Source organism: Homo sapiens, chromosome 8 (assembly GCF_000001405.40).
Source record: "Homo sapiens chromosome 8, GRCh38.p14 Primary Assembly".
NCBI lineage: Eukaryota > Metazoa > Chordata > Mammalia > Primates > Hominidae > Homo > Homo sapiens.
Genome location: NC_000008.11, coordinates 6,006,111 through 6,028,196, shown reverse-complemented (window position 1 = coordinate 6,028,196; position 22,086 = coordinate 6,006,111).

Below are 22,086 nucleotides of genomic sequence, written 5' to 3'. Positions count from 1 at the left end.
ACGCAAGAGTGCCCTGATGATCTTCACAAAGACGCAGAACCCAAGTGCTTTGGAATTGTTTTAGCACCCGGTTTGGAGCCAAACAGTCTCACAACTCCCACGATGACCCAGCTTTTTTTACACCTCTTAAAGTTGCAATATGAGTTTTGTCTTCCCAAGGGTAATTTTGGTTTCTTACAAAGGTAAGAAAGAAAAGTATGGAAAATGATTAAAATAAAAAAGGGGGCATACAAGGGGCAAATATCTTCAAAAAAACCTGTGTCTTTGCTTAAAATGATATAGAGAAGACAGTGAAAGAACCAAACTGTCACAGCAAATTCTTTACAAATTAATGCCATGATTCCTCAGTACTGTCAAAATTACAGTTCTGGAGAGGCTATGAAAACAACTTCCATTCTGATGACATGGAATCATTATATTTTTGTGACTATATAGCTGACAATAAAAGGAGCAATGAAAGCAATTCTCAAGAAATGTAGGTAGATTTGCAGAACTCTAGGTGGACAGGTATCATTCATGCATATTGACAATTAGCAATATGGAGATAGTTCTTATGGAACTTACGTGCTACACAAAATACAACTTAAAGTTGGTTATGCGTCAGTTTCCTTTCAACTGAGATCTTCCAAATTCTTGGATTGAAGTTCTTATACATTACATGGATTCAATGTACCCAATCTGATTGCTGGGTTTTTTTTTTTTGGATGCATTTTTTAAGTCTTATGAAATGAGTATATTATTATTTTTAATAATGCTTTTATATTAGCTAATGGATAATTTTAAACCTTCAATAGAGAACATTTGGAATGATTGTCAAAGAGTGATAACATATATACTATAATTTAAATGTTTGCTTCCTCAAACTCAGATTGAAATTTAATTGCCACATTTAATTGCCAGCATAATGGCATTGGGAGGGGGGCCTTTAAGAAGTAATTGGGCCATGAGGGCTCCACCTTCGTGGTTGAGTTTAATGTCTTAATAAAAGGGCTTTAAGGAGTGATCTCTCTCAGCTCTTTTGCTCTTCTGCCATGTGAGGAAGCGTGTTCCTCTCCTCTGGCGGAAGCAGCATTTGAGAGGACATCTGGGAGCAGAGACTGGGCCTTCACCAAGACTGAACATGTTGGCCCTTAATATTGGACTTTCCGGCCTTCAGAACTATGAGCCAATAAATTTCTGTTAATTATAAATTATCCAATCTGTGGTGTTCTGTTATGGCAATACAAACCAACACAATATGCTTTTATTGACAAGTGTAGTGTGTCACTGTGGTGACATGTCTATTGGTAGACATATCTACTGTTCACATTTTATGCTGAAAAGTGATTCATTATCGAAGGAAAAAATACAATTCTCTCACACCCCGGTTTATAACTAAATATGATTGTATTTAATAAAATTAATTCAAATCTAATTTCTGGTAGAATATGCTGATATCTAATTTTGATTTTGATACTATATGAGTTTGATCATTTCAAATTAATGGAAATGGTCAAGCTATTAGGACTTAAGACAATAGCATGTATTATTCTCTTTCTAATACTTCATCATGGATAAGCTACTATACATTTCTAAATATTTATAATTTCCAGTTATTCAATTAATTAGTGCTTAATTATTAACTCATTTTAAGTGGCCTTTGCATGTGGCTCAGTCATTCAAATGAGGCTAATGTCTATCTTGAATTTGGGGTTACTTTATACTCTATTCTCTAGCTAAATTTTGTTTGCTGTATCTTTATTACATTTCATATATCTGCAAAGCAGACAGCAAAACATAACAATGAAAGACATTAAAAACTGATTAAAGGTCATGAAATCAGTACTCAAGTTTCCGCTCGAATCACTTCATGAAGATTATCTAACATGAGAGGACCCCATCTACTAAAAATTCCTTATCCTGAAGTTATACACATATGTATGAGCTCCTCATCAAATGATCTCTAGTCTCAGGTCTCAGACTACTGTTTAGGTTTCCATTTCATATATCAATAGGTGCAATATGCTGCTTGCTGAAATATTATTCCATCTAGCAACGAGAATGCTGCTGGTGATACAGAATTATTTGCTAGTTAATTAGACAATATCATAAGATAAAGTTTTCTCCAACCATGCTTCTCTCTCAAGACTAGTATAAACAAATGCCAAATATTTCAATGGAAATGAACTGGTATGGTGTTTCAAACTACGTATAAAAGTAAAAAATTATAGTGAATTATTTAAAATATAATCAAGATGAAATCTTTCTTCTGGCAATTACAGAGTAAAATAATCTTGGATCCTTAGAATGAATTACTCTTCTCAGAGACAGAGAAATAAGTTCTTCGAAGAGAGCAGGGATGTATCCAAAACATATAGAGTTGTAAGACAGTTTAAAGGTAATACTAAATGAGTGTTGTGGGCCATTGTGAAATAAATATATCATCAGCCATCTCCAAATACAGCTTGGATTGCTTAGTTTTTATGAGACAATTAGAATGGGTTGTTTCAAAGTTTCAAAGTTAACTGAAAGGAATTAACTGAGGGCATGATATATCTTAGGGTTTCATTTTTTGCGGGCCTTTCAATAGACAATATCGTGTGTTAAATTACTTTCATTGCTGTCTCGATTCTGATGGATAGGTGGGCATAGAGTCTCATTAATGTATGTGCCTAACAGATGTTATTCAAGCTGTCTGTGGCATCGGCACAGATGGGCTGGATATGTGGCCTGCCAACAAGACAATAGATGGATTTTATCTCAAAGACTCTATTCTCATTGACTGGAGAAGTGCAACTGGCCAATAAATGCCTGAAAGTGTCCAATGGAGAAGTTTGAAGTTCAGCATTGGGAAGAATTACATGCAACACATCTTGCCTGAGCACATGCTAAGGGTCAGGCTCCCTGTGGGGCACATGGTCAAGCTCTTTATGATTTACAGTCATGTGTGCAAGTAACTGTAATACAACTCAGAACAGAAGGTGCACCAGAAAGATAAGGACAAAATCCATGCGGAAAATTAAGTTCAACCTGAAGGGTGGGTTTACAGAGGAGGGTGAATCCAAATTGAGCCTTGAGCTATAATGGGGCTTATATGAGCAAATCTAGTGACTGTACACTCAGTGAAAGGAATTTGGGGATGAAATCACACAGGCAAGAAAGATAGGACATGTTCTAATTGGTATCTGTATTACCCTGATAGATTAAGAATGAAGTAGAGCATGAAATAGAAAAAGTATATTAGGCCCAGCTTATGGAAGATGTTTAATGCTAGGCTAAGGATATATATATATATATATATATTTTTTTTTTGAGATGGAGTCTTGTTCTGTCACCCAGGCTGGAGTGCAGTGGCGTGATCTCAGCTCATTGCTACCTCCGCCTCCTGGGTTCACGTGATTCTCCTGCCTCAGCCTCCTGAGTAGCTGGGACTACAGGCGCCTGCCACCATGGCAAGCTAATTTTTTTGTATTTTTAATAGAAACAGGGTTTCACTATGTTGGCCAGACTGGTCTCGAACTCCTGACCTTGTCATCGTCCCGCCTTGGCCTCCCAAAGTGCTGGGATTATAGGTGTGAGCCACCATGCCCGGCCGGCTAAGGATTTTTGTTCTATATACAAAGAGGATCCATCAGAATTTTTTGAGGAGAAAAATAACCCAATGAATCTGATGTGGTAGGAAGATACCTGGGTGGTAATGTAGAGGAGGCATTGCAGCAAGACCACTGAAGGCAGAGATACAATATAGGGGACCGCAAAGCTATTGTACTGGGTTAGGTCAGTGGCAATGAAGGCTTGAGTTTGGGAAGTAGTCTTGGGAAAGTTTTAGAAGAAATGGGAGTCATAAATGAAAGCCATTTTACTATGATGAAGGCATCAAAAATGTTAAGAGACACTGGAGATACTGGAATAAAGCAGAAAATGTCCATCTTTTTGCAAATCCACTCTAGTATTCAGAAAAGATTAACTGAGCTTGACATATTTATAGGAAAGGCAAGTATTATGGGGAGAGAGAGTTGTTCATATGAAGACATGTTTAAAATTTCAGGTTTTTAAGATTTGAAAATGCAATGGATGATATTATTTAAATTCTATATCTTCAGTTTTTGCAAAATTATTGAATTTCTGAGTTCTAGAACCATGTGGTCATCATTGAAGCATGTAGAACACAACACTAGAAAAAATGGAAAGGCTTCTTCTTGGAGGGATGGTAAATATATGCAGCCTATATTCTTGGATTGTGAGGCCTTGCAATGCTCTTCCTTCATCTGGAGAGTCCTCTCCTCTTACCTTTCCCCAGGGCTGAAGAACAAGTAGGGTGTCCAGATAAGTAATTTTTCTGTGCACAGTGAGTTAGAAGGCAAAGAAAATTGCTCAAAAAAATTGGTAAGAGTTTGGTATCTTAAAGACATGGTAATTGTGGTAGCCTCTGTGGATGTAGGGAGAAGGAAAGGGGGAGAGAGAGAGAGGAGAGAAAGAGAGATTGTTCAAGGTATTGAGACTTCAGTACTTGAGTCATGAGAATGTTGTCTAAGTATCCTGGGCATAGCAACTAAACTTTTGTATATTTCTTCTTTATAAGGATCTTATACACAAGATCTTGGACTACTGTTGTGTTTCCCTAGAAATCCAAAGTCTGCTAGCACCCAGCTCATATGTCGTCACCCTGGGATGTCTTCCTGTGTATTGCTGTTGTCTTTGTCTTTCTCGGAGCACCGATAGTGTTCTGTGTACAACTCACTCACAAGACTTACATCAGTGAATCATGTGTAGATTGCTAGCAAGTATTCCTGGAGAAGTTACTGAAACTCTATGATTCAGTTCTGTAAAAGAGAAGATTGAAGTAGTACCCAACATGGTGTCGTTAGAGTATTAAATCAGACAATTCATAGAAATGGCTGTGCTCAGTGCCTTCCACTACATAAAGCTTTGATTCAGCGCTACTGTTGTTACCGTCTGTGTATTCCAGGACAAGACTGGGGATGGAATCAGACTCAGGTATTAGCGTATTCCTTTGAATCTCAGAGTTACAAAGTGAGGGTTATATAATGATTAATTGCACAAATCCAGATATTACCATAAACATTTTAGCAGCGACATATCCTGATGCTCAAATTCTCAACTGATTGCTTGGCCAGGGGCAAATGTAGCCATAAACAATCTTAGAGCAATTTTGACAGTCAGAGATATTTTATGTGACCATCTCCATTGACTTTGGAATTGAAAGATTCTACTGAATTGTCATATGAAGGATATTGCGATTATGTGAAATGGAAGAATGATGTGAAATGAAGAAAGAGAAATCATATAAGCTATAGTTGAAGAATACAGTGTATTCTTTTTTAATATACACATTGCAGCAGGTTTATCATTTGAATTTAAAATCAGAGCCGGATGTCCTTGTATGCCTTTTATTCAATTTTTCAGGGAGAAAATACTACTCTCAAATGTATCATGAAATGACATTACATTTACCACCCACCAGCCTGTGTTGACTGAATAGTCCTGAATATTCAGGTGCAAACTCTGAAAGTAAAACAGAAGTGAAGATATAAATACAATAGGCTCATTGTCTGTAGATAAACTGGAGAAATAATAAACTTCTTTTTCTACATAACATATGACATAGAGAATTTCTGATGCAATATTGAAAATGCCAGAAATGTTAAATCGGTAGGCAACATTAAGAACTATAGGAACGGTTTTGTTCTTGTGCTCGGCCACCCAAAAGAAACAAGAATATAGTACTTTCTCCCGTTAATGGTATAATGAATCCAGAACTGTTCTGTGGGATGTTTCTTAAACTTAGGAGGTGATAATCTCTCTTACCCTATACTTATTTCATTACAAATTAGTTGGAAATTTCTTCTTTAAAAAATTTCTCTTGGATTTATTTTCTTCTTTCCATGCTTGCTTTTGCCATTAAAGTTGAGCTCCTTTTCAAGTTTGGATTATTTTTGTGGTCTCTTGAAAAGTCTTCCCACTTGGAATGCATTCTAGATGATTGTATGGTGTTAATATTTTTACAACACTACTTTTATCATGTCACTTTCCTGCTCTAAAATTAATTATTACTGTCTATTTTTCTCACCTCATCCAATAAATAGCTGTTTCTTCACATTTTCAGGCTCAGCATTCTAGTCCCGCTTTGTCTCTCTCACTTATTTTTTCCCAATCATCAATATCATTGTGATTCACTTGGAGCCCCTGTTGCAAGCACTTCTGCTTCTCTGCGCCATGTTCCTTCTCCCCTTTATGCTTTGACCGCTCTGTCAGCTTCATCTCTTTTCTGCCTCCTGCGAGATCCACCTGTCTAGATCGATTACATCCTCAAAGCCTTCTTGCTGCAAACTTGGTCATCATTTACAAACCCAAATCAGCTCCAGTATGCCCTCTTGCACAGCAGTGGCTGTAAATACCCTGCTGCCATGGTGAGCACAAAGAATGCACAGTCTCTGGCAGCTTTCCAGGGTTGTGAGGTCATAGCTAAGTCTTAATATTCTTGTCTCCCACAGGACTCTTGGGACATCAGGGTGGGCTACCTGGTATCTTATCTGCAAGAGAGCCCCAGGGCTTAGAATGATGAGGGATTTGGAGTGATAGTTGGGTCCTGATATGGTTTGGCTCCCTTTCCCCATCCAAATCTCATCTCGAATTTTAATCCCCATCACCCCATGTGTTGAGGGCAAGGCCTGGTGGGAGGTGATTGACTCGTGGGGCTGGTTTTCCCCTGGCTGCTCTTGTGATAGTGAGTTCTCATGAGATTTGATAGTTTTATGAGGGGCTCTTCTCCCTTTGCTCACTGTCTCTCACCTGCGCCATGTATGACATGCCTTTGCTTCTCTCTCACCTTCCTCCATTATTGTAAGTTTCCTGAAGCCTCCCAGTCATGCAGAACTGTGAGTCAATTAAACCTCTTTCCTTTATAAATTACTGTCTCGGCTGTGTCTTTCTAGCAGTGTGAGAACAGACTAACACAGGTCCTGAGATTCATAGGTTAAAAATGGGTTGGTATATAAGCCCTGTCCCCACTCCCACAGTTGCTGGTAAGAGATAGGGAAAAATAATCAGGGAACAGGTTGACCATTTGCAGCAAGTGCATTTGAAGGCCCCTTCCAGGATGCTCTGCAGACTTTTCAAGTTCTTCAGAGAGGTCTTGGCATGAGTGAAAAAAACACACTCCTTTGGGGACTACAGGAGGAGTTGCCATTACCTGGAAAGGAAGCTTGTCTTCATCTTACAAAGGACAGTAGGATAAAGGATGTGGAGTGGAGAAAAAGACCTGAAAAGAGTAAAAGACTGTGGGCAGGGGATGCAGCAACAACACCATCAAGAAAACCCAAACCAGCAGGTACTAAGGAGCATGAGCCCCTGGGACAAACTGGGCGGGAGAAGGTGCAGAATGAGACAGAGACAGGAGGATGAGGGAGACAGAGGAGGATGAGGAAGAGAGAGAGGCAGAGAGAGAGGGAGAGAAAGAGAGAGGAGAGAGGGAAGACAGAGGCAGAAGGTGTCCTAGAAACTACTTACTATGTTGGTGCCCAGGTTAAATGCTATTGAGAATTATTGTAAACCCTCAGATATTGAGGGCTTTGTGTTCTGAGTCAAGAGATGCAATATTAAAGTAATAAAGACTGCAGTCTTATCTATCAGAAACATAAGCACATCTGTGCTTAGGAAGTGACTAACACATTTTCAGTCCCCGATTTATTAGGACATCCCACATGGGTCAGGCCTTCAGGGCCTTTGCAGCCCCGTCTGGGATGTTTGGCCGGGTGGATACCTTTCTTCTGGGGCTGTTTCATGCCCTTCCTGGGTGAGGCTCTGCGTCACAGGTGCTTGAAGAAGTGTAAACACATCTTGTTTCTTCAGCAGTGTCTTAGTTCATTTGTGTTGCTATAAAGGAATACCTGAGACTGGATAATTTATAAAGGGGTTTATTTGGCTCACGGTTCTGCAGGCTGTACAGGAATCATGGTGCTGACATCTGCTTCTGGTGAGAGCCTCAGGAAGCTTCCATTCATGGAGGAAGCTGAAGGGGAGCCAGCATGTCACATGGCGAGAGCAGGAGCGGGAGAGAGAGGGAGCAAGAGAGGGAGGGAGAAGGGGCCAGCCTCTTTTAAATAACCAGATCTCATGTAAACTCATAGAGTGGGAATTCACTCATTACTGCAGCAAGGACAGCACCAAGCCATTCATGAAGCATCTACCCCCATGGCTCAAACACCTCCCACTAGGCCCACCTCCACTGCTGGAGGCCACATTGTAGCACGAGATCTGGAGGGGACAAACCATCCAAATCACATCAAGTAACAGAATAAAAAATGCATCCTGGTGTGTCCTACTAGTAGAAGCTTGGAGTCCTCTTTGGGCCTTTTTTATGTCAAAGATGATAAATTTCTATTTTTATTTTAGAATCTTAAAAATAATCCATAAGCTGTGAAGGCAGGTTCCAAATAGGTCTGAAAGTGGTTTGAGAAATAGAAACATAAGTGTGTCAGTTTACAAATGGCTACTTTGAAAGAAAAGAAGACTGGACTCAGCATCAGAGCATGGCACAAGAATGTACTTGTCTCTCAGCCATGCTGGGCGCTGACCCCTCTGTAAAACCCAGAGCAATAACACATGTGATCCTTGTTACCATGGGCTTTGTGCAAATCAAGATAGAAGGGAATGATTATATGTGGAATTAATTGTCACGTACCCCGTAAATACAGCATGTTAAATATAGTTATACATTTCTTAAAATCGTTACAGTTTCTAGACAAACCTAGCACTCATTCATTCAAATAAGGTGAAGATAGAGCAAATAGGCTTTCATAGAATGCAAATTCAGAAATTGCAGTAAGACTTATGGCTTGGAAAAATTCAAGTTTTTTTAAAATAGAAAAGTGTTGCATTTTACTAGAATGTTAGAGAAGACATTTCTTCATAAAGGTATGAAGAAATAATGGTTGAAGAAGGAATTCTCCCTAGACAATACTAGAGAATATGCATATTATTCTCATCTTGGGAAAACATGATAGTGGGATTAATGGTTTCTGCCAAACAAATAATTATGTGTTCTAGTTATTCAAGGGAATCTCAAAACTGAAAGTTCATAAAGTACTAATACTGTTCCATGTTTGTTTTTTTTTTTTTGAGACGGACTCTCACTCTGTCACCCAGGCTACAGTATAGTGGCACAATCTTGGCTCATTGCAGCCTCTGCCTCCCAGTTTGAGTGATTCTCCTGCCTCAGCCTCTCGCGTAGTGGCAATTACAGGTGCCAACCATGCCTGACTATTTTTCTTTTGTATTTTTAGTAGAGACAGAGTTTCACCATGTTGGCCAGGCTGGTCTCAAACTCCTGACCTCAAGTGATCCATCCACCTTGGCTTCTCAAAGTGCTGGGATTACAAGCTTGAGCCACCACACCTGACTTTTTTTTTTCTTTTTTTTTTTTTTTAACAGATCAACTATTTTCTTTTAATATGAGGCAACCATTTCCTTGTCCTTGTCCTGAAGTCTCCTGAGGCTTCATTTGCTCTCAACTATGTTTGAGATCCTGTGCTTCTCCTGGGCATCCATTTCTTAAGCGTCCAGAGCCTAGGGGTGATGGACTATTCCTGTTATACACTGGAAAAAGTATTTTTTATATTAAAGGAAAAAAAAATGAGGTGGAGTTTTGTCTGAGGTCCATATTAGGTTTCCTATGAGATGAATCATATTATAGTTATTCAACTCTACTGTTCTCAGCTTTTCCTAAAATTCCTTTCCCCTGACATAAACAGAAACACACACCAAGCCAAGACATTTAGGCAACACAAGAAATCACTCCTTTCTGCTAGGAGGCTGCCAGGTGTGTGAGAATTTCACATCTACAATTTACCTCCTATGGGACTTAGGTCTCCCACCTGGACCAGTCTTCCTTCTGGGGTTGGGAATGGTGTCGTTTCTAAGTTTTGAATAGAAGGACTCACTCCCCACACCTTCCTGCCACTTTCTTCATCTGAATTTGAATTTTCTTTCTTCTGTATTAGAAAGTTCTTACTAGTTTTTTTTTTAATTTTAAAAATGGTCCTTGCCTGTGATTTGCATAAATTGGGGTGACAGATGCATTTTATGTAGCAGCATGCCCTCTCTAGAGTGCTTTTTGCCAGGCAGTTTCTAAGGGCCTGGATCCTAGCCAATGTCAGAAGGAGTGTAATGAACTGATAAAAATAGAACCGGATGGCAAAAGAAGATAACTAGCTCACGGAGAGGCCATTTCTCATGCATTTTTTGGGTGGCAGCAGAGTGCTGGTCAAGGACCACTGTTGATTAAAGAGTATAATTGGATTGTTTGCAACTCAATGAGTAAATGCTTGAGGGGACGGATACCCCATTCTTCATGATTTGCTTATTTCACATTTCATGCTTGTCTCAAAACATCTCATCTACCCCAAAAGTATGTACACCTATGATGTACCCACAAAAATTAAAAATTGAAATTTATAAAGGGCCACTGTTGATAATAGGGGTATATTTGGAAACATCTAATGTACTGAATTTTCCCCCATCAAATGAGTGAAAGAAAAGATTGCAGGGGGTGGTGAGGGCACTATGCATTCTAAGTTTAGTGCAATAGTAAGAAAATTAGTGCATTGCATGGGGTGAATATGAATAATGAGTATCAGCGTGCATGCCATTTGGAATAATCATTCTAGAAACAAATCACCCCCAAAATGAAAGTGATTTCACTGAACAGGGTTGATGGCTTTGAGGTCACCATTCTGTTGGTTCCCTTGAACACAGACTGGGCGACTGGTATGTTGCATATGTCCCTCTTGTATGGGATGGGGATTACTTGTTGGCAAAGACACCATAGATTTTCTAAAAAGAGCCTTGGAGATCATCCATTTGACAGTTGTACGAACTGAGTTCTGAAGATTTGTGAAGCGTGAGCTTTATTCTATTGCTGGAATGCAAGCAATTGATGGGGAGTGTTAGGCCGCTTGCTAGTCAAGCTGAGAGGCTGCCTAAGGCTCTGCAATAGCCCTGAATGATAATGCTCGCTGCGGTCCAGGCCATTAAACCTCTTTGCGTTAACTTTGGATCATGTTTACGGCATACCATCAGATGCCCATGTGATGATTTTAATCACAACCATCATTCACTTTTCTCCCAAAATTAGCCAAGTTTTAAGTTAATTGAGAGAAAGCACCTGTCCCAAAGTGGTACCTTTGATTTTTCTGGTTGTTCTAGTCATTTTGGGGCATTCATTTAATTCCATCTCAGTCTCGGATGGTGTGCAATAACTTACCTTGTATTTCCCTGCTCTAAACCAGGAACTATTGAGTGGAGAAAATTCACGGAATGCTTAACAGTCTCTAGGTTAGTTAAAAGTAAAAAGGTTACTTGGGGGTGGTGGGGGCTAGTGTTTTTATTTTTTTATGGAAAAATCTGAGATTAAAACATAAGCCTCAACCCTCAAAAAATGATTTTAATGATGTCAGTACTTGGAAGTGTGGAAACAAGTCTTGGTACTGTACTTTTTTTTCTTCTCTACATAGCTGTAGTATTGTGGGATAAGGAGTGTATTAGAATTCAGAAGACCTGGGTTCACATTCACACCCTTCCCCTATTAGCTATTTGATCAGGATCAACTTACTCCTTTGAGTTTCAATTTTACTGCCTCAGAGGCTTGTTATGAAGATAAAATACAATGGTATGAGATTAATGTCTACTTAGGTGTTTGTTGAATTTATCAATTATTGAGACAGCCCAAGATACCTGCATTTCATAACCTTAATAGTAAAGTTCGTTTTTTAGTGTGCTAACAAATGAAGAATCTAGTTTCTCAGCAAGTGTCTCTTCTCAGTAGATTGTCATCTTTTCATTTGTATAAACAATACATCTTTCTAAGACAAAAAATATTCCCTTCCTTTCTTCCCTTTCTTTCTCCCTTCTTTTCTCTTTCTCTCTCTTCCTTTAAGTCCCGTCTCCTTTCTTCCCTCCTTCTTTCTATTTCATTTTTTTTTTTTTGTGGGGATGATGTGTAAAATATTTTGTGTCCTCATGAGAAGATATTAATTCAAAGAGTATGGGATAAGTATAGGATAAATCATTCTTACAGCTTAGTTATCATATTGACTTGTATCATTTTAACTATTTTTTCATTTAAAGACTTTTAAATACATAGAAAATAACACAACAGAGTCTAAGTTAGATGTAACGAATGTATTTTTTTGGTATATTTGCTTTAAATGCCTTTTTTGAAAGAAGCAAACTATTACAGAGACAGCCACGTTTACAGATCCACATTGCATCCTTGTCTTTCCTTTACCTGTTTGCCATCTCTACGAAAGTGAAAAAGTGCCAAATGGAGCATTCCCTATTTTGAAAATGTAGAAATATTTATTCTTATTGCATTTCCATTCTGTTGTTAAAACATATGCATCCAATTTATTAGTTTTTACTATTCTATAGCATACAATTTTATTGCCATGCCAGAATTTACTTACCTTTCCTTTATCGATGAACTCTTCAAAGTTATTTCCCAGTTTCTGCAACTATAAATGTTTCTATAGAAAATTTTCTTGCATATATATGTGTGATAACTTTGTCAGGCTATATGCCTAGGAGTAGAATGCTGGGTTATAATGGATTTACGTGCAAAACCACAGTGAATATTCCCTACTGCTTTCAAAGTGGCTGCACCAATTCACAGCCCTGCTGGCAGTGTATATGTGTTACTATAATCCCTTATCCTTGCCAACATTTGATATTGTTAAGCTTTGAAACATTTATCCAATTTTCATTGTCATTTAATTTGCGTTTCTGGAATTGCTAGTAAATTTGACCATGCTTTCATATTTATGTTGGCTATTCAGATTTTATCTTTTGTAAATTGCTCATTTGCATCTTTTGCTTATTTCTTCTATTGCATTCTTTGTTTAAAATATTTACAGGAATTTTTATTTTCTCTATACTAATCTTTTGTGAGCTATACGCATTGTAAATAACTTCTCCCTATCTGTTCCCATTGATGTAATCTGATTATGATGCTTATAATGGCTTTTATAATACAAATTTCTTTTTAATTGTAAGGTTGCTAACATTTTCCTTTATGATTTGCTGTTTTGCTTTCGTGTCCTGTTCAAGCATTCCATTCTTACCCTGAAGTCATAAATATCGTTTCCTATATTTCATTATAGAGGTGTCCAAAGGTTTTCACCTCTAAAATCTTTAATGACATAGAAGTTATGTTACATATGGTATTAAATAAATCTGTACCAGAAAAGTTGATGCTAGCTCCTTTAACAAATAAACTCACAAGTATAGGTCATCTAATCTGATAAAAATTTATCAAGTAGGTCCACAATGGACATTTTTGATTGGCAGTTGCCTTTACTGTAAGCCTTGACTCAGGGACCCCAGTTCCTTCCGCACTGTAGATCCACCATTTCTGCACATGGCTTCACGGTTGCCAAAAGAGTGCATAAGGCTTGGCGATTGTGCAGTGAGTCCTTAGTGGGTCAGGCCTGGAAGTGGGTGCATTAATTCTGCTCACCTTCCATCAGCCAGATCTCAGACACGTGGCTACATCCAAAAGCATGGGAGGCTGGGGAAGGTGGTTTTAGCTGTGTGCCCACGAAGACAAGAAAAGAGGGTTAGTGAACAGGGAATCTGTCCCTGCCCCAGGTCTAATTAATTATCATTATTATTATTATTTTGAGACAGGGTCTTACTGTGTCTCCCAGTCTGCAGTGCAGTGGTGCAATCTCAGCTCGCTATAGCCTCAACCTCCTGGGCTCAAGTGATCCTCCCACCTCAGCCTCCTGAGACGCTGGGATACAGGCACGTGCCACCATGCTTGGCTAATTTTCGTATTTTTGGTAGAGATGGGGTTTCTCCATGTTGCCCAGGCTGGTCTTGAACTATTGAGCTCAAATGATCAGTCTACCTTGGCCTGCCAAAGTGCTGGGATTACAGGTGTGAACCACCATGCCCAGCTTATATTTATTTTTATCCATAAAGATAGCACATATTGTACAACTTAAAAAAAATTGATATTATTCCAGGTTCCCATACATAAGCTAGTTTAATTGTTGACTCTGTTTCGTTCCATTTTTCTATTTGTCTGTCTCTAAACCTCACTGTTTTTGTTAATATAACCTTACAATAAGTTTTGGTATCTGGAAGAGTAATTATCAGTTCACTTTTATTCAAAGTATATACTTTATATACCTAGATAATTAGAAAAATATAAAATCCAAAGTAGTGATAATATACTTGCTTTTTTTCTTGGGGGTGGGGAGGCTTTTGTGTGATCTGTGCACATTCTTTGCGCAATCTGTTTTTATGTATCTGTGCCCCAGACAAGAAGTGTTTTACCTCCAAAATGGACTCCATTTCATGGCTAAGAACCACAGTACTATTTGTTCAATTTCATAAGGTGTCAAAGTTGCCCCTGGTAGTGCTTTGTTATCATCTTTCAGTGTAGACAGAACATCTGAAAACCCTGGGAAAACAAGATTTTCAGGAAGTTGGGTTTCTGCTTCTTAGTCCACTTCCTAATAAGTGGAATGCAACCAAGGGAAAAGCAAATTATTATGCCATGTCTTTAAATAGCTATGATTATGAATGCAGTCATTGGTATCCATAGGTTTAAATCATTTATTTTATTTAATTAATTAATTTATTTTTTGAGATGCAGTTTCCCTCTTGTTGTCCAGGCTGGAGTGCAATGGCGCGATCTCGGCTCACTGCAACTTTCTCCTCCTGGGTTCAAGGGATTCTCCTGCGTCAGCCTCCTGGGTAGCTGGGATTATAGGTGCAGGCCACCAAACCCCACTAATTTTTGTATTTTTAGTAGAGATGGGGGTTTCACCATGTTGGCCAGGCTGGTCTTGAACCCCTGACCTTGGGTGATCCACCCGCCTTGGCCTCCCAAAGTGCTGGGATTACAGGCGTGAGCCATTGCCTATAATCATTTAAATACAAAAAGGCTTCCTAATTTGTTTTTTTTTCAATGTAAAAATATATAAGAAAAACCACTTTACCTAAGAATAGCTTTTTGGTTACAAATGGTCTACGGTATATTAAACATGGAAAACCCAAATATTCTAAGCAGAGAACGAGAATGGAATTCAGTATTTTCAAAGGAAACAATGCAAATATGGGCTGATGTAAACAGTTAAGAAAGGCTACACCAGTCACATATTTTATTTTTTAATTTTCTCTCTCCTTCTTTTTCTACCAGAAGTGTAACTAGCTAAAGCAGGAGTAAAACAGGCTAAAGCCTCCCTCATCGTGTTTGTGTTCCTCTCTCTCCATTACTACCCTCTGAGATTCTCACATTCCTGAGCATCCAGGCTGGTTTCCTGCCCGATTACAATGTCCCTGTGGTCTTTCACCTGCCCACGGACCCTGCCTTTAGGACTTCTGTTAGCTCACTTGATAAACTAAGCCACACAAATGACCTGGGGATGATAACTAGCTAAGGTCCTAGGCAGCACCCCTGCACTGACGAACCCAGAGCTGCTGCGGTGGAGATGTCACACACTGAGGCAATCAGCAGGACAGCCGTTTCCAGCTACCACGGCAGCTACTGAGCAGTTGCTAAGGTTGGTGCCACCTATGTGAATATTTCACCTCACTTTTAAAATAAACAAACACTGTCAGATATTAGGGATACAACCTCTAGTTGCTCACATGCTAGGTGATACAAATGACCATTTTTAATGCTTCAAGTATTCATCAAGCAGCTACCATAAGACAAGAGTTTGCTAAGTGGTGGGGTTTCAATGATAAATGTTCAGGTTTGAAAAAAAATTGACATGGTTCTTGCTCTGATGGAGCTTAGGATTTAGTGAGGGAGAGAAACATTGATACAGACACATGCGCACCCTCTCTCATGGATCAGAGTTTGAAGGAAAAGAACAAGGTACCACAGATGAGGTCCTGGGAGGCTGGAGGAGACTTTCTTAGGAAAGGATTGTGTGTGGAGGGGAAGACAGTCTTGGGCTGAGGGCGTGGGTTATGCGAGGCTGTGGGGAGGGGTGGAGGCGTGTGGAACATTGAAGCTACCGGAAGAGCACATCTTTCTTCCAGGGAAGAGCACATCTTTCTTCCAGGGAAGAGACTGAGAAGAGACCAGTCCCAGTGAGGTGGGAGATGTGAGTAGAGCCACGTGATGCAGGGCTTGAAAGAATGTTGGAAACCTGATATTTCTTCTTTCAGTGCAGCCGAAATGAGAACAGACTAGAGGTCACAGTAGCAGATTTGGGTAAATCAGTGCAGCATGATGGGATCGGACAGCAGCTCAGCCTGAGGACGTGGAGATGAGGACATGGAAGAGCAGATGGGTGGCCGTGGATGAGCTAGTTGGGTGTCACAAAATGAGACTGAATTGGACATGGGAAGTGAAACGGGGGAATATCAGCAATGACTCACAGAAGAAAGGTACTATCCAGCAATGGAGCAGAGTTAAAATGAAGCTAAATCAGTCAAAGCTTTAAAAGAGAAAGCTGCTTACTGCAGAGCTACCCAATGAAAGAATAATGACCTTCTTGTCGAAGTCATAAAATAAAAAACAATTCACTTTTTAATTAAGACTTTGGGTAAGCAGGAAATGGTTGCATAGAGTGTAGGGAAATAGCAGGCAACCTCCAACCATTTCTGATACTTTCAACAACAACAAAGTTCTATTCTCTGCTGCCATTTCTATTTTGGGATCTAATTAATTATAAACATAGGTGCAAGACTGAACTTACATATAGGCAGCTTAAGAAATAAAATATGACAGGCAGAGTAGGACATTGCAATTATAATCCACCTCTCAAAGCACTATGAGGATAAAAGTCAGGTGATTTCTTTCCTAGGAGAATTTGAAAACTATCCTGAAGCAAGTCATTTAGAACTTTCCATTTTAAATAATCCTAACATAAAGCTACAATTCAGAGCATTCATGTACGTAATTTAAAACATGTAAAACAATATTTCCTGATGATATAGGTACATATAGAATCTGTAAATTAATACATGTAAACATTCATAGATGTCAAACTGAGGTTTGGGGTACCTCTGGGAAGCTAGGGAATGCAATGGGTAGGTACATGGGGGTGATTGGCTTCATCTACAATTTTTAAACTATAAACAGTAAAAATATCAGAAACATATGGATCAAAGTATCAACAGCTAATGGATTAAAATGTTAACAACTAAGGAATCCAGGGTTCTAAGAATCTAGGATAGAGCCCGTTGTATTATTTTCAATATTTTCTGCATATTTGCAGTATATTATGGTTATAAGTTTAAAAATGAAAGGGGGAATATTTCTATTCATTATAGTAAGGGTATGGAAACTATCTCATGGCTTGGAAAGACAATAAATTGTCTTAAATTGTATTTTCTAATATGTTGTTTTCATCGTCTCTAATCCTGTTTTTATCTTTGTTTCTATATTTCTATTTGAAAAAAAAGACACGAAGGCAAAATAAATAATTTTTTGAAGTATTTGCTGCTTTAAAGTAAATGGTAAATTATGATAAAATTATTTTATGGAGATGACAACTAAAAATAAAGAGTCACATAACTTTTATTTATAGGTTATTTTATTTTTCTATACCTTAATGAGAATAGAAGTATGTGGTAAGAAAAGGGCTAGATTTTTAAGCCAGAATACTAGTTTTAATTTATCCTCTTATGCAAAATAGGACATTCATTTGGTAAAATCAAATAACTTTATTGGCCTTATTCTCATAGTTATAAGAAAAAGAAAGGATTGGAAGTGAATATTCTTTAGGTTATGATCTGGCTTTTACTTTGTAGGATTATTTTTACTAATTTTGTTTATGAAGATACTACTTTATCTCTTCCTAACACTGCGACCACTGCAACAATGACTTAGGACATTTTCGTTTAGTGAGGTGAAAAAAATAATTTTCATGGTGTGTGACACATATGTGAAAAGGTACACACACTCTTAATGTGCACTTTTGTGAGATTTACAAAGTGGACACAGCTGTGTAAACTGTGTTGAAGTCAAGAGTTGAAACGCTACCAGTCCCTGAGGAAGCCAGGCTCTGTGGTCATGCCGATGACACTCAGGATTTCTGTTTTCCTGACTTCCAACATCATGGGTTCACCCTGCCCATATTAGAACCTTATAAAAAAAATCTAGTAGCTCAGTAAATGTCTGACTTGTCTCGCTCATCAATATTTTGGGAGAATCATTCATACATTTTCATAGTTGTTATTTACCCATATTTATTGCAATGTAACAGGGATTGGCAAACTTTTTCTGTAAAGCACAAAGTTGAAAATATACCAAAATGTATTTGTCTATTTTATTGTTGATGAACATTGGATTATTTCCAGTTTTGAATTATAACATATAGTACTGATATGATTACTCTCATATACTTGTTTTAGAGCACATATGTATCTATTTCTATATACTGAGGAATATAATTGCTGGGTCACAGGACACATATATATTTAGCTTTCATTGATACTGCCGTACAACTTACCAAAGAGATTCTAACACCTTATGTTTCTTTCAGTCAATGTATGAGATTTAACAACAGTTGATTTTGTTCATCTTTTTATCAGTTAGGTAAGTATGTAGTGATATCACATCGTGGTTTTAATTTTCATTTTCCTGATAACAAATAAAATTAAGCAATTTATTTTACGTTTGTTGGGAATTTATATCTTATTTTGTGAATTGTTCATTCACATATTTTCCCCATTTTCTATTGGATTGTTTGCTTTTTCTATTGATTTGTAGAAGTCTTTATAAACCATGAATATACATCTTTTGACAAATGTATGTTTTGTAAATATCTTCACCCAATGTTGGCTTTATTTTTTCATTCATCTGAAGGCATCTTTTGATAGAACTTCTTAATTTTAATATGGTCCAATTTTGCCTGCATGGTCAGTATGTTTTTACTTCTCCCAAGATTGTAATAGTAATGCATCATATTAATTTTATTTGTAGTTCTTCTTAATATCGTTATTCAACAAATTAACAAAATGTTAACTCAATAATGATCCACTAGTTCCCCTAGGCCCACGAGAAGGGAGGTAAAAGAAGCTTCAGAAGTTACCTGGCAGGGAACCTAGTGCCTGGATGGGAAGTTTCAAGAGGTCGTCCTGCAGTACGCTTGCTTTTGTTCTTTTAGTTATTTGTCAGGAGGTGAGGAAAAGATGACAGAGCAGACACTTAAAGTTTCTCTATACAAAGTAGAATGCCAACAATATCACTTAGCTCCAGCTTTCCTATTATCTATACAAATCTAAGTGGAATAAATAGACATTATAATTTTGAAAGGAATAACTTGCTGGAAGTTATGGAAATAATCTTGGTAGGATTCTGGGTTATAAATTTTGGTGCAAATATCTTTATGAGTATGTAAGTTTAATACTTAAAAAAACTTAGAAACATTAGAATTGTGATTCTAGATGACAGAATAATTTATGACTTCCCCTTCTCCACATTCTTAATATTTTGGAAATTAAAAATAAATTCACTATAATGCTTAACCCCGGAATTAGAACTGGAATCAGAATTTGGACTGAGGGGAAGAAACAGGAAAAAACTCAACCAACTGAGGCAGCTGCAGCACATATTGGGAAAAGAGAGGCCATCCCTGTCGGTGGACTTTTTCACAGGAACCTCAGGATAGTTCTGGTAGTGAAGGTAGCAACTGTAGACCTACAAGAGGCCAGTCAGGAAGGTAAGGGAGGAGTGGCTCAGACGCACCCTCAGCCTCCCTGTAGAGCCTGCCTTATGGAATTTGAAATAAACAACAAGGGAATGTAAAGAATTCTGATAACAGGCCCCCTTGCCAAGTCCAATCAAATTGGAACAAGAGTGGAGCTGAAGTGTCCTATAATCTAAAAGCACCGTAAGTGATTCTATTGTGCATCCTGAGTTGAGAATGGCTGTCTTTTTGCATTGTGCCTCCACACACATTTTTTATTATTTACATGTGACAGAGGCCCAGGATGTCTCACCAGGGCTGCTTATGACCAGGGGCGTTTATGACATCTGACCAAGGGTGGAAAGAGTTGAGATTTTTTTTCCTGTGTCATTGTGAAAAATAGTACAATAGTTAGAAAAAATGGGTATAATGTCTTCTAACATTTTATTCTAAAAAATGTAAGAAAGATTCCTTGTATGTGTTAATACAGCAATTCCTGTAAATCAATTAAACAGTCAGCATTCAGCTAAAAAATATATTTACAAAATACAACACAATAAACAAAAATTAGATAGAAGAGATCAATGAATATAGTGCAAAACTTAGTAAACTAGAAAACAAAATATTAATCTCACTCCATTTTGACCAAACACACCCAGGAAAATAACTCACACCTTGAAAGGGCCAACAAAATAGATGAATACTGTTGAATAAATAAATGATATTTTTCAAATCTGTTTAAAAAAGAGAAAGCACACGACTTTGCTAACATAAAGAAAATGTAATTACAAGCTTATAGATTTAAAATATAAGAACATATGAATAAGTTATACAATGATGGTGATAATTATAATATGCATATTATTCTCTGACATTTATTGAAGCTATATATATATAGTCATATAATTCTCATATGAATCTATGTGACAGATCTTTATTATCCCTCATAAACTAAATTTTAGAGAGGTTAAGTAAGGTATCTAACAGGGCAGAAAAGCAAAATCTGGACTCAAACCCAGGCCGTCTAATTCCAAAAGCTCTTAACCACTTTGCAATATTATCTCCTGAAGTGAATAAATTGTAAACTGATGCAGAAAATAAGGCTTTTTTTTCCCCCAGTCAAATTGAGCCTTTTTACTTCAGAACCTCATCATCCTGGGATCTTAAATGCTCGAGAATCAAGTCAGTAGGTCCTGATGCAGATTGATTCTTGTTCATTGATGATTTCCTTGGGGCATTGCTCTGTGCTTTTTTCTACAAACTCTCGTTAGTCTATGAGGGAAGATTTCATTGGTTGTTTCTCTTTGTAAGTTTAAAGGTCAAGCTATTATTAAATATAAGATTCAGCTTTATTTTCCTGAAAGGAGAAAAAAGGACTAGCCCAAATGAGATTTTATTAACCCGTCTTTTCCTTTTCTTGGTAATACACCAAAGTGACTTGTAACCAATGGACTACCCCAGTCGTATCATTCATTCTTTTGCAGAAAGGCATTAAAAGTCAAAATTATCTTGAATGACATGAAATAAGGTACTTGTTTGTTTTTCTCCCTTTTTGTCTTCCTATATCAAAATGAAAGGACACCATTGATAATAGTATGTTATATAGAGACTGACTTGAGTGAATTTATTGTCACTTTTTAAGGTTATTGTTAGATTTGTTTCTTTTTTCCTTTCTTTTTTTTAAAGAAAGACGACCATAAGTATGTGTATAACTATGAGATATTCAACTGATTTCCACATGTGCCTTATGGAAAATAGCCTTATTTCTACAAAGTTACATGTACAGTGACCAAGAAGTTATTTAGGTGGCCTTTTGTCACCTGACTCTAGAAGAAAGGAATTGGTTTCAGTCTGTACCTACAAATGTTTTCAGAGTGGAGAAACAATGGTGATTTTATGGTTGTTAAAAGGACTGATATTTTCTATTTCAGCTGGGGCAATCCATTTGTTTTCCATTTAACAAAGCGACTTCGCTATTTCATTATTGACTTCATGTCATTGTCCCTTTAGGAATTCTAGATGGTGGTTGGTGTTGTTTGAGAATTTTACTGGTACTACTGCAACCATCACACAACATATCCTCAAGAGATTTACTGTGAAGAACATAGCTATCTATGTTGACTTGGTGATATGGTTTGGATTTGTGTCCCCGCCCAAATCTCACGTCCAGCTGTAATACCCAATGTTGGAAGAGGAGCCTAGTGGGAAGTGAGTGCATCATGGGGGCAGATTTCCACCTTGCTGTTCTCCTGAGAGTGAGTGACTTATTTTGAGACCTGGTTGCTTAAAAGTGTGTAGCACCTCCCCCTCCTCTCTCTTCCTCCTGCTCTGGCCATGGAAGACGTACCTCCTTCCCCGTGGCCTTCACCGTGATTTAAGTTTCCTGAGGCCTTACCCAGCCTTACTTCCTATAGAGCCTAAGGAACCGTGA